General features: G+C 36.6%; 1 protein-coding gene across 3 annotated transcripts in view; it reads left to right on the top strand.

Annotated features, from left to right (window-relative positions):
• KIF5B (kinesin family member 5B) overlaps positions 1 to 12,223 on the top strand; it is a 47,411-nt gene that overhangs the window by 17,372 nt on the left and 17,816 nt on the right. For all 3 annotated transcript variants that reach the window (NM_004521.3, XM_047425203.1, XM_047425202.1), the window contains 11 exons: positions 228 to 276; positions 836 to 891; positions 1,447 to 1,534; positions 1,676 to 1,800; positions 3,060 to 3,164; positions 3,387 to 3,532; positions 4,216 to 4,364; positions 5,016 to 5,209; positions 6,280 to 6,348; positions 7,775 to 7,981; positions 10,483 to 10,626. In NM_004521.3, coding sequence (NP_004512.1) covers positions 228 to 276; positions 836 to 891; positions 1,447 to 1,534; positions 1,676 to 1,800; positions 3,060 to 3,164; positions 3,387 to 3,532; positions 4,216 to 4,364; positions 5,016 to 5,209; positions 6,280 to 6,348; positions 7,775 to 7,981; positions 10,483 to 10,626 — 1,332 coding nt within the window. The remainder of the gene's footprint in view (positions 1 to 227; positions 277 to 835; positions 892 to 1,446; positions 1,535 to 1,675; positions 1,801 to 3,059; positions 3,165 to 3,386; positions 3,533 to 4,215; positions 4,365 to 5,015; positions 5,210 to 6,279; positions 6,349 to 7,774; positions 7,982 to 10,482; positions 10,627 to 12,223) is intronic.

Genomic DNA, 12,223 nt, shown 5'->3' with positions numbered 1-12,223 from the left:
TTCTAATTCATTTTAGATGAAGATAATGTAATTTATGTCCAATGGGAAGACTGCTTAAATAACTAAGCTAATTTGGCTAATTTATGTCTTCCCATTAGAATGTGAGCTATGGCTGGTATGTTGATAACTGTCTCTCTAGTCTAAACAATGCCTAGCACTCAGACCTCAATATGCGAATAAGTTATATAACTTTAGTTGATCGGTGTTTTTTTAAATTTGCCCTTTAGGTTTCATATTTTGAAATATATTTGGATAAGATAAGGGACCTGTTAGATGGTAAGTTAAATTCTTGCTAATCAGTTTTAAATAACATCTGTTAATTCCTTTTTAATAATAGATGTGAGACTATTTCTTTGTAACCTATATGAAATTGTCTTAAGTTATTGGAAATAGACAAAATTTTTTTTCTTCTAAAGTTTTAGTTGAATACCTTTAAATAGAATAACTAGTTTAAAGCGATGTTTATGGGTACTTCTTAGTAGTAATTAGAGCATTGGACTGGGAGTTACATAATCTGAGCCCTGAGTTCTAGTCTTCTGTCAACTGTCAATTAGATACATTGTCCTTAGGCAAATCATTGAACCATTCAGGGTTAATGTTCTTGTTTATAAAATGTGGGTGGTAGGTTGGAGTGGTCCTAAAATTCTATATTGTTGCATTGGTTTCTATTTACATCTCCTGCTGTGTCTGTAAGGTCTGCTTTAGAGCAATGTTTTAATATGTTTTTAGAGTTCAACTATTGCTGTTAGGCTGCTCAGGAAAGCCTATCAGTTATTTCATATCCAGTGTTAAGAGTTTTAGGAGAATGTTGCTAACATTTGTTTTTCTTTCTCAGTTTCAAAGACCAACCTTTCAGTTCATGAAGACAAAAACCGAGTTCCCTATGTAAAGGTATTTATAGTACAGTTGTCTAGAAAACCCTGTAATACTTTTTTTTTTTTTTTAAGACAGAGTCTCACTCTGTCGCCCAGGCTGGAGTGCAGTGGTGCAATCTCGGCTCACTGCAACCTCTGCCTCCAGGGTTCAAGCAGTTCTCCTGCCTCAGCCTCTTGAGTAGCTGGGATTACAGGCATGCGCCACCACGCCCAGCTAATTTTTGTATTTTTAGTAGAGACGAAGTTTCACCATGTTGGCCAGGCTGGTCTTGAACTCCTGACCTCGTGATCCGCCCGCCTCTGCCTCCCAAAGTGCTGGGATTACAGGCGTGAGCCAATTCATTTAATATATGGAGGCTCGCTCTGTTGCTCAGGCTGGAGTGCATGGCATGGTCTCGGCTCACTGCAACCTTTGCCTCCCAGGCTCAAGCGATTCTCCTGCCTCAGCCTCCCAAGTAGCTAGGATTACAGGCACCCGCCACCGCGCCCGGCTAATTTTTGTGTTTTTATTAGAGAAAGGGTTTCATCATGTTGGCCAGACATTAACATATTTTTAAAAATTATTTCACAGGGGTGCACAGAGCGTTTTGTATGTAGTCCAGATGAAGTTATGGATACCATAGATGAAGGAAAATCCAACAGACATGTAGCAGTTACAAGTAAGTAGAAAATAACACTGGTTAGGATTTAAAACCAGCTTAAAATATCCTTATCCAGGTGATTAATTATAAGATTGCTTCAGGGAAATTGTTAAGGGGAAATCATGTTTGTTTATATTTGTTTGTGTAATTTCCTTGCAGATATGAATGAACATAGCTCTAGGAGTCACAGTATATTTCTTATTAATGTCAAACAAGAGAACACACAAACGGAACAAAAGCTGAGTGGAAAACTTTATCTGGTTGATTTAGCTGGTAGTGAAAAGGTAAAGTCTTCATGTATTTTGACAAATATTTAAGCATCTTTGTAAACTTTAGTTTGAGTTGGGAGTTACGCAGGGTTCATTGTTGCATCTTACTTACCAAACTGGATTTGGTAACCTGAGATTTGTAACCGCTGATGCCAGTGCCTTATGATGATATCAGCTGAATAATCAGTTCCAAGTTACTGTTGTTTGACCATACTCTAGTTCAACCCATAAGTGGTTTCTATGACTTAAGATATGTTCATAGTGAGAACTGGTTCAGCATATGTTGTTATAAACTTTATTAGATATCCCTTTTCTAATTTTTGATACGTATTTTATCCATATTGGCAGTGGGGTCCCTATTAAAACTGGTAACTCTCGATTAGTCTTTTCTGGTTTGGTTGGACTTATTTCTTTCCTTTGGATTATTGTTTCATTATTACAATTCTATACAGTCTGATTCTAGTCTATATCAAATTAAGTTTGAATGTTATAATAGGGACCTCTGACCATTTTTGCTGTTGTGCTAATTTTGTTTCTTCTGCTTAGAATGATATATCTATTCCGTTCTACTCTGAAGTCTTACACACATCTTTCAAAGATTATCTAATCTGAGAAATCTCCTAAGCTATTTCTTCAGCCAACATTGCTAATTTATTGTTCTGACCTATCTTTAACATAGATACTAGCTGGGCATGGTGGCACATGCCCGTAATACCAGCTACTGGGGAGGCTGAGGCAGGAGAATTGGTTGAACCCGGGAAGCGGAGGTTGCAGTGAGCTGGGATCAAGCCACTGCACTCCAGCCTGGGTGACAGAGTGAGACTCAGTCTCCAAAAAAAAAACACCACAACATAGATATTTAGATATTTTATATATTTTTAAAAGAAGCAGATTTGCTTATATAATGTGTTTAAAACTCAGTCTCTGTTTTCTAACAGTTACAACATCAACATTATGCATTAGCCAATTTTAGAAGGTTCCTGTTTTCTAATGTAGCAAAGGGGACTAACAGATTAATGAACTACAAATTTACATTTAAATTGGTTATTTTCAAGAGTACCTACAAACTACAGATAAAATTTGATGTCTCTCTAATCAAACTCTTAAGAGTAGTACTCAAGAAATGGTGGTATGCTTGGCAAATAAGATCATGAAGCTTTTCATGTTCTTTTTTCTTTTTTACTGGTTATTGATGACATATGAACATTTTAGAAAATGTAAAGAAAATTATAAACTTGTAATTTTGTTTCATTCTTTTGAAATCTTATGTATAGGTTAGTAAAACTGGAGCTGAAGGTGCTGTGCTGGATGAAGCTAAAAACATCAACAAGTCACTTTCTGCTCTTGGAAATGTTATTTCTGCTTTGGCTGAGGGTAGTGTGAGTATACATGTCTTCTATCTCCCTGTTACCTTATGGGGCATTATTTAAATATAGGTGTATATGTGTGCCTGGGTGTGTATGAGAGAGAGAGAGAGAAAGAGAGATTGAGATTCAATGTGTTTGAATCAGTATGTGTAAGTTAGTTGTCTTTTGGGAGTTTATTTTATAATAACATTTTATTATACTGGTCTTGTTTTCTTTCTTTGTTTTTGTATGCAGACATATGTTCCATATCGAGATAGTAAAATGACAAGAATCCTTCAAGATTCATTAGGTGGCAACTGTAGAACCACTATTGTAATTTGCTGCTCTCCATCATCATACAATGAGTCTGAAACAAAATCTACACTCTTATTTGGCCAAAGGTTTGTTGTTAAGAAAGTACAAAACCTAAATTTAGATAGACCTTTTGTTTATAAAATGTAGGAAAATGTGAGCTGTTATTCCAACCTGTACATACTGTTTTGTGCTAGACACACTCAGTTTGAATTGATGACAGATAATACAAGGTGGGTCTGATTTTTAGACTGCTTGGTTTAAGTTTTAGTACACATTAAAGTCAGATGTAATTTTAGTCAAATTTGTGTGACAAGCTGTAATTTGGTATTAAAGAAAATAAGCATTTGAATCAAATAATGAGGTCAAAGCCTGGCAAACATAATCCTCTGTTAAGCCTGTAGACATGCATGACAGGTTAATATAATCTGTATGAGATGATTAGGAAAATCAGTAATGATGATTCCGTCTTTGACTTTCAACAGTAATTTCTTAATTCAGCCTTGCAAACAAATTGGAAAAATATAGGCCTTTGTCTTTTATTTTTAGTGGTTTGTTGATTTTTTTTTTTTTAAAGCTATTCACAGATTTTGGAGCAGACTCAAATTTAGTTGAGTTGTAAATAACGTCATATGTTGCGGCTTTTAGTATTTAGTCTAAGAGATTACTGGACAAGCATAAGTTTCTTAGCCATATATACATATATTCCATATAGATAAAATTAAAAATAATTTCAGTCTCATCCTTTTTTTCCTCCAATTACATCTCTTAGGGCCAAAACAATTAAGAACACAGTTTGTGTCAATGTGGAGTTAACTGCAGAACAGTGGAAAAAGAAGTATGAAAAAGAAAAAGAAAAAAATAAGATCCTGCGGAACACTATTCAGTGGCTTGAAAATGAGCTCAACAGATGGCGTAATGGTAATAACTTAAGAATTTGTCATCTTCAGTTTGTTAAATACAGATTTAGAGCATAGAAACGTAGAAATAGTTCAGCAAAATCAGTAAGTGACTAGATCAAGAAATTTAATAGACATCGAAATAATTTTTAAAAAAATTAATAGAAATCCTGGAGCTGAAAAATAAAATGAGCAAAATGCAAGAGACCATCAGTAGTAGAATTAATTAAGCAGAAGAATCTGAACTTGAAGACAGATTATTTGAAAATAACACAGAGAAGAAAAAGTTTGAAAGAACGAGGCTGGGTGCACTGGCTCATGCCTGTAATCCTAGCACTTTGGGAGGCCAAGGTGGGCAGATCACTTGAGGTCAGGAGTTAGAGACCAGCCTGGCCAACATGTTGAAACCCCATCTCTACTGAAAACACCAAAATTAGCCTGGCATGGTGCTGAGCGCCTGTAATCCCAGCTAATCAGGAGTCTTGAGGCAGTAGAATTGCTTGAACCCTGGAGGCAGAGGTTGCAGTGAGCCTAGATTGCACCACTGCACTCCAGCCAGGGTGACAGATTGAGACTCTGTCTCAAAAAAAAAAAAAAAAATTTTTAAAGGAATGAAATTGAAATTAGCTTTAGACGTCGTTTTTTTATTAACCACTTTATTTTCTTATTTTAGGGGAGACGGTGCCTATTGATGAACAGTTTGACAAAGAGAAAGCCAACTTGGAAGCTTTCACAGTGGATAAAGATATTACTCTTACCAATGATAAACCAGCAACCGCAATTGGAGTTATAGGAAATTTTACTGATGCTGAAAGAAGAAAGTGTGAAGAAGAAATTGCTAAATTATACAAACAGCTTGATGACAAGGTAGGTATTGCTTGATTTAGGTCTGCTTTATATTAGGATACTATTGACATGGGTGTTTTTATTTTCTAACTTTTCTCATTTCAGTGCTGTGGGCACTTAGGATCTTTATGCATCTTCCTTGATTTCTGTTAATCTTGTAAAAATTATTGTATTAACAAAATAAAAAGTCATAATTTCAATTTCTGTGTGGAAACTGTATGAGCATGTATCTTTTCTTCCCCCTCTTTTTAAGCTAAAAGAACTTTATAAGGCAGCAGTCCCCAACCTTTTTGGCACCAGGGACTGGTTTCAGGGAAGACAGTTTTTCCGTGGATCAGGTCGGGGAGATGGTTTTGGGATGAAACTTCCACCTTGGATTATCAGGCATTAGATTCTCATAAGGATCCTCTAACCTAGATCTCTTGCATGCACAGCTGATAATAGAGTTCGCGCTCTTAATGATATTCTAATGCTGCTGATCTGGCAGAAGGCGGAGCTCAAGTGGTAATGCTTGCTGCTCACCTCCTGCTGTGCTTCTTGGTTCCTAACAGGCTTCCAGTACTGCTTTGTGGCCTGGGGGCTTGGGGACCCCTGTTCTAATGAAAATTTGGCATTGGGTCATTGGGAGCCTCAATGATACCAATTGTTAGAATCAGGGCTCTGAAGACTCCAATAAAAGATGATGTGAGAGATTAAGGGAAACACAATAGAGTGGAAATAATATCTTCCTGCTTTGCATATAGAAGTAATGTCAATAGTATGAATAATAGCAAACTAAGAACGTAATAGAATGGAAGGCAAGAACAAGAGTAGTAAAGAGATTAGAAGAAAATATTTTCTTAAGTTGATATTTTTAATATATTTTAAGCAGAGATGGCAGGTTCGAAGTACATGACCATTATAAGTATTGATAATTGAAAGAAATTCCTTTTGTTTTGCCATTTTCTTAAAAGAGATTAAAATAAGCAATGTTGAATTTAGAGAAATGGTTTTGAAATATTTCTGGGGAGTAGTAATCTTATAACCTGTATTGGGAAACAACTAGAACCAGGTTGTTAGCTACTGGTTAACCGGATACTTCACAATTCTAGGATGAAGAAATTAACCAGCAAAGTCAACTGGTAGAGAAACTGAAGACGCAAATGTTGGATCAGGAGGAGGTGAGTTGAATACCTTTTACATTGCTTCCAGAAAAGCTTTATAGTTTTGTTTTCTGAATCCCATTGACTTTGTCTTTAATAGTTGTATAATTTTGGGTATGACTGTCTTTGTGGGAATAAGAATGTCACATGGATAAAGTGAATTTTTACTTATTCATCGTATCTACCCAGATACAATCTGTTGTTCATTTCCGCCATCTTTTTTTTCACCCTGGTTCTTGACATTTCTCTTCTTGTCACTTACTTTGGATCCTCATTTTATCTTCTCACCCAGCAGAGCAGGGGGATAATTGAAAAGCAGTCCTTTAAATTTTTTTGTGGGGGTGGTGGGCAGGGTGAAGACAAAGACTGCTTCGGTAAGAAAGAGATACTCTCCATCAGTGAACTTAATCCTGGTCAGATCATCTTTCAACTATAGCATTTCATATTTCAACTATAGCATTATTCCTCAAAGGGGCACTATTGATATTTTGCATTGGATAATTTATGTTATTCTGTCCTTTGTATTATAGGACATTAAACATTCCTGGTCCCTACTCCTAAATGCCATTAGCATTCTACCCTATTATTAACACTCCCACAGATTTCCGGATATCCCTACAGGAGAGCCACTAATGTGGATGATTGTGGTTTTCTCCTAACTAGTCTCTTGGCATCCCTGCAGTTCAGATTTTATGTGCTGATACCAGGTTTTGTTTTTGTTTTTGAGGCGAAGTCTTGCTCTTGTTCCCCAGGCTGGAGTGCAGCGGCGTGATCTTGGCTCACTGCAACCTCCACCTCCCAGGTTCAAGCGACTCTTCTGCCTCAGCCTCCCGAGTAGCTGGGATTACAGGCGCCCGCCACCACGCCTGGCTAATTTTTTGGTATTTTTAGTAGAGACGGGATTTCACCATGTTGGTCAGGCTGGTCTCAAACTCCTGACCTTGTGATCCGCCCGCCTCGGCCTCCCAAAATGCTGGGATTACAGGCGTGAGCCACCCCGCCTGGCCCAAATCTAAATTTTTAAGCAACTCTTGTAGAATGCCATTTTCCTTTATTACATTAATTTGCATGTGACTGCAGTCGATCTCTCCTAGCCAACTTCTCCATGAATGAATACTCTTTCCTGTATTACTAAGCACTTTATCTGTCCTGTCCCTCTCTTATGGTTCTGACCTTCTATCTTGTACTGCACTTATTCATGTGCCTATCTTCTCTTCTACTGTGTTCCTTAAACACAGTCTTTGATTTTCTTTCTGCCTTGCAGCATCCAGCACAGTGCCTGCACATAGTTGACATTTAGTAAATCTGTTTAATGAATAAATGTTGCCACACTGAATACCATCCATATTTCACTCCATTTGTTCTTGACAAATGGTGAAGCTTCATGGGTGTTTTTTAAAACCTGTATACTTTTGGGGAAAATAAATTATTTTCTGTCCTATAGCTTTTGGCATCTACCAGAAGGGATCAAGACAATATGCAAGCTGAGCTGAATCGCCTTCAAGCAGAAAATGATGCCTCTAAAGAAGAAGTGAAAGAAGTTTTACAGGCCCTAGAAGAACTTGCTGTCAATTATGATCAGAAGTCTCAGGAAGTTGAAGACAAAACTAAGGAATATGAATTGCTTAGTGATGAATTGAATCAGAAATCGGTAGGATATAGTTTTATTTTCTTTTTTAATGCTTTAGTACAAGTATTCTTAACCTAAAAACTACTTAAATAACTTACTTTTCTATGTAAGTCAAATATCGATAACATCAATTTTCAAGGACTCGGGTTTCAACTTCATTTCTTTCTGTATATGAAGCCTTAGAGGTGGAGGAAGACAGTTATTTTAGTTCCTAAAGGTCTGTTAATATCTAATTTAAATGCTGTTTTAGAGGATGTTTGCTACTCCTAATTTTAATTTTTTTAATTTAGTATATAGCATGTAGAATCTAATGTTACTACTAATGTTAAAGGAAAAATAATTTAAAGCTGCTAGTTGCCCAATAAAGCTATTAGATGATTGTTCAAACAATAAATTAAATATGCAGTACAAATTAAAATGCTATTTAATCAACTGTGAATTATTTGGAATAGATGTAAGGATATGTAACTTAACATAATTTATGTTTTACTTACTGTTACATTTCCACTACGTGGAACAGTGCCTTTTTAGCACAGTGTAGTGGTTCCCAATAGATGGAGATTTTTTTTTTTTTTTTTGAGACAAAGTTTCACTCTGGTTGCCCAGGCTGGAGTGCAATGGCGCAATCTTGGCTCACTGCATCCTCTGCCTCCTGGGTTCAATGATTCTCCTGCCTCAGTCTCCCGAGTAGCTGGGATTACAGGCGCCCGCCACCACGCCCGGCTCATTTTGTATTTTTAGTAGCAACAGGGTTTCACCATGTTGGCCAGGCTGGTCTCGAGCTCCTGACCTCAGGTGATCCACCCACCTCAGCCTCCCAAAGTGCTGGGATTACAGGCGTGAGCCACCGTGCCTGGCGACTAGATGGAGATTTTTACTTGCTGAAAATTGATACAGGACAGACATCGCCAACCTCCAACAATGATGACAGAAATAATACATAGCTATGAATGTTTCAACATCATCATGGAGGAGCTATTTTGTGGTTTTGTTGTGGTTAATGCTAGCTTCTTGTTTAGAAATCAGCATCTAGAGTTGCACTCAGGACCCATGTCCACCACTTATTTCCCTGCTCACATTAACTTGTCTAAAAGAAAGCAGTCAACAGTACAAAATAATGCTTTTAAAAGGTTTCCTGCCCCTATGAGTTCCTTTTCTCTTTTTAATCTACAAAGTTACAGTTAGCTTGAAGTTAACATTCAGTACTGTACAGATCTAAGACACCATTATAACTAACTCTTACTGAGTTGCATTATTAACAAAGCTAATTGTTGTATGAAAGAATAACAGGAGTTTTTTACAACTCTGAAAGGTGGTCCTTGGCCGCTGATTTTAGTCTTTAAGACAGTTATATTTATGTTTCACTTGTGGAGCTGAAATCTATCAGCATTACATTGATAATAGGAGTTAGAAATCCCTAGTGTTTAGCATCTGTTTATATGCTTAGACAGTGTTGCTGTTCAGTTAGAGAGTGTCTGGTAATTTAAACAATTATGGTAGAAGCATGCTATATTATGAGACTTGAAGATAATTGGTATCATATTGTAGATTAACCTGGGTGGATACATACTCTACTGATACTCAGAAACTTAAGGAAATGACGAACTACCATAAGAAATAAGCAGTTGGAATGATGGCATCTTTACTAAAAGATACTGATGAAAAGTCAATAAATGGCATTACAAATACAGTATAGTACAGGCATTACAAATACAGAAGCCCCAAGCGTTTCAGATTTTGGAATGTTTGCATTATACTTACCAGTTGAGCATTTCTAATTGGCAAGTCCAAAATGCTTCAGTGAGCATTTTCTTTGAGCATCATGCAAGCACTCAAAAAGTCCCAGATTTTCGAGCACTTCGGAGTGGGGATGCTCACCTTGTATCTGTTCTGCCATATGAGTTATTTTAAAGTGGGCACCAAACTGGGTTGGACTTTTCAAAATTTGGTGATTTTGTAGCTGTTAAGCCAGCTATGATTTGAGATTTATAATGATAGTCATTAAACTCAGATAATATTACTTTAACACTAGCTCCTGGATAATTGCCTGTATCATAGTATTATCACATGGATTCTTTCCAGTGAGTAAGTATATAGAAAGTAGATGAAGAAAGCATACTAACCATCTAGAAAAGAGTGTCATTGTAACGTTAATTTGCTGACTCACTTTCTAAAGATAAGACATAATATAGTAATAAGTGATAATCAAATCTAGTTAAATTTGAGGCTTCCCATTTTTAGACAGAAAATATTATTCAATCCCAGGAATTTAGTGAAATAACAGAAACTGCCTGCTCTTAATTGAAAACAATGTGGCTACTTTTACCATAGCCTATTAGGTCTAAAATATATTTTAAGTTTGAGCTGGGAGCCCAGAACCTGGTAGATAGTTCAAGAAAAATGAAAGCAGAAAAGACATGGTTTCGTAAGGGCTTGGTGTAAAACTTGAAACACCGATGAGTATTTGATTTGAATTTTCATGTAGTAGATTTAACTATACTTTTTGTTTTGGGTTCTCTTAGGCAACTTTAGCGAGTATAGATGCTGAGCTTCAGAAACTTAAGGAAATGACCAACCACCAGAAAAAACGAGCAGCTGAGATGATGGCATCTTTACTAAAAGACCTTGCAGAAATAGGAATTGCTGTGGGAAATAATGATGTAAAGGTAAATATAATAACTAAGTATTAAGGACAATTATCTGTATACACTGGCACTTTTGTTTACTACTAATAGTTTGTAAAGTTCTTTTCGTATTCATGATCTCATCCTCACAAACAGTCGTGTAGTAGATGTTATTAACCGCATTTTAAATAGATCAGGAGAGAGCAAGAGAATAAGGGCACCCAAATAGGTAAATTCAGTAGGCGGCATTTATTGGACCTCATGTTTGATTCTTTACTATAACATTTTCCCCAACCTGGGCAATGTGGCGAAACCCTGTCTCTACAAAAAATACAAAAATGAGCCTGGCATGGTGGCGTGTGCCTGTAGTCCCAGCTACTGGGGTGGGAGGATTGCTTGAGCCTGGGAGGTCAAGGCTGCAGTGAGCTGCAATCGTGCAACTGCACTCCAGCCTGCACAACAGATCAAGATGCTGTCTCCAGAAAAAAAAAAAATTCGTGCTTAAAAATTACGTTAATAAATTTCCATAAGTGAAATGATTGGAACAACAATTAAGATTAGTTCACGGACCAGACATAGTGGCTCAAGCCTGTAATCCCAGCACTTTGGGAGGCCAAGGCAGGAGGATCACTTGAGCCCAGGAGTTCGAGACCAGCCTGGGCAACGTGGCAAGACCTTGTCCCTACAAAAAATTTAAAAATTAGCCTAGCATGTAGGCATGGTGATACATGCCTGTAGTCCCAGCTATTTTAAGAGACTGAGGCAGGAGGTTAAAGATGCTGTGAACCATGTTTGTGCCATGGCACTCCAGCCTGAGCAACAGTGAGACCCTATCTGGAAAAAAAAAAAAAAAAAAGATTAGCTCAGGGAATAAATTTATAATGAATGGGCTTGTGGTTGCTTTAAATATTTAAAGAAAAGTTAAAGATGAGCACTGCTTTCTTAATTCTTTTTTATTTTAGTGTGAAAAATTTCAAACATATAATAGTAGAGAGAATAATACAATGAACTCTAGAGTTTTCAGTTTTCAAAATATGTCCATATTTTCTTTATACCTCTTTGTCCTAATCTTTTTAAAGATACTAATATTGGTTGTTAGCATTAGGCATTTGACTTGGTGGTAGATTTAAAAACTAAGACCAAAGAACCAAACTAAGACTCTTAACTGAAAAACCATGCATATAACATGAAAGATTTGTATGTTGCAGTAGCTGTTTAGACTTTACCTTTTTGATTAAAGCCTAATTACAATACAAAGAGAGCATATACACTTGGGTTTATATTGAGAGCCTACTAAAAAGCCCAGTCTGTTAACCAGAGTTGGAACTGACGTAAAAGTTTTCAATATGGAGTACACATTTCCATCTTTTGTATTGTTTAATGTTGCTGTTTGCTGTTAACTGATTCTTCAGTTTAAAAATGAAGAAAAAATATTTTTAAAAAATACAAAAAGAATAAAAGATAAAATCAACAAAATAAAAGTTACTGTTTGTTGATGGAGGCAAGGATTCTCATGACTCTTCTCTTCATATGTTATTTCTTCAGTGGACTCACTATGGGGCCACTTGACTTGCTTTCCCTTCACCATCAGTCTGAACATTTCGGCCCTATTCTGTTTATGGTGAAGTAATGTGAGATG

The sequence above is a fragment of the Homo sapiens genome, chromosome 10 (genome assembly GCF_000001405.40).
Source record: "Homo sapiens chromosome 10, GRCh38.p14 Primary Assembly".
Classification (NCBI taxonomy): Eukaryota; Metazoa; Chordata; class Mammalia; order Primates; family Hominidae; genus Homo; species Homo sapiens.
Note: the sequence above shows the minus strand (reverse complement) of the source record. Positions and strands in the feature narration are given on the sequence as shown.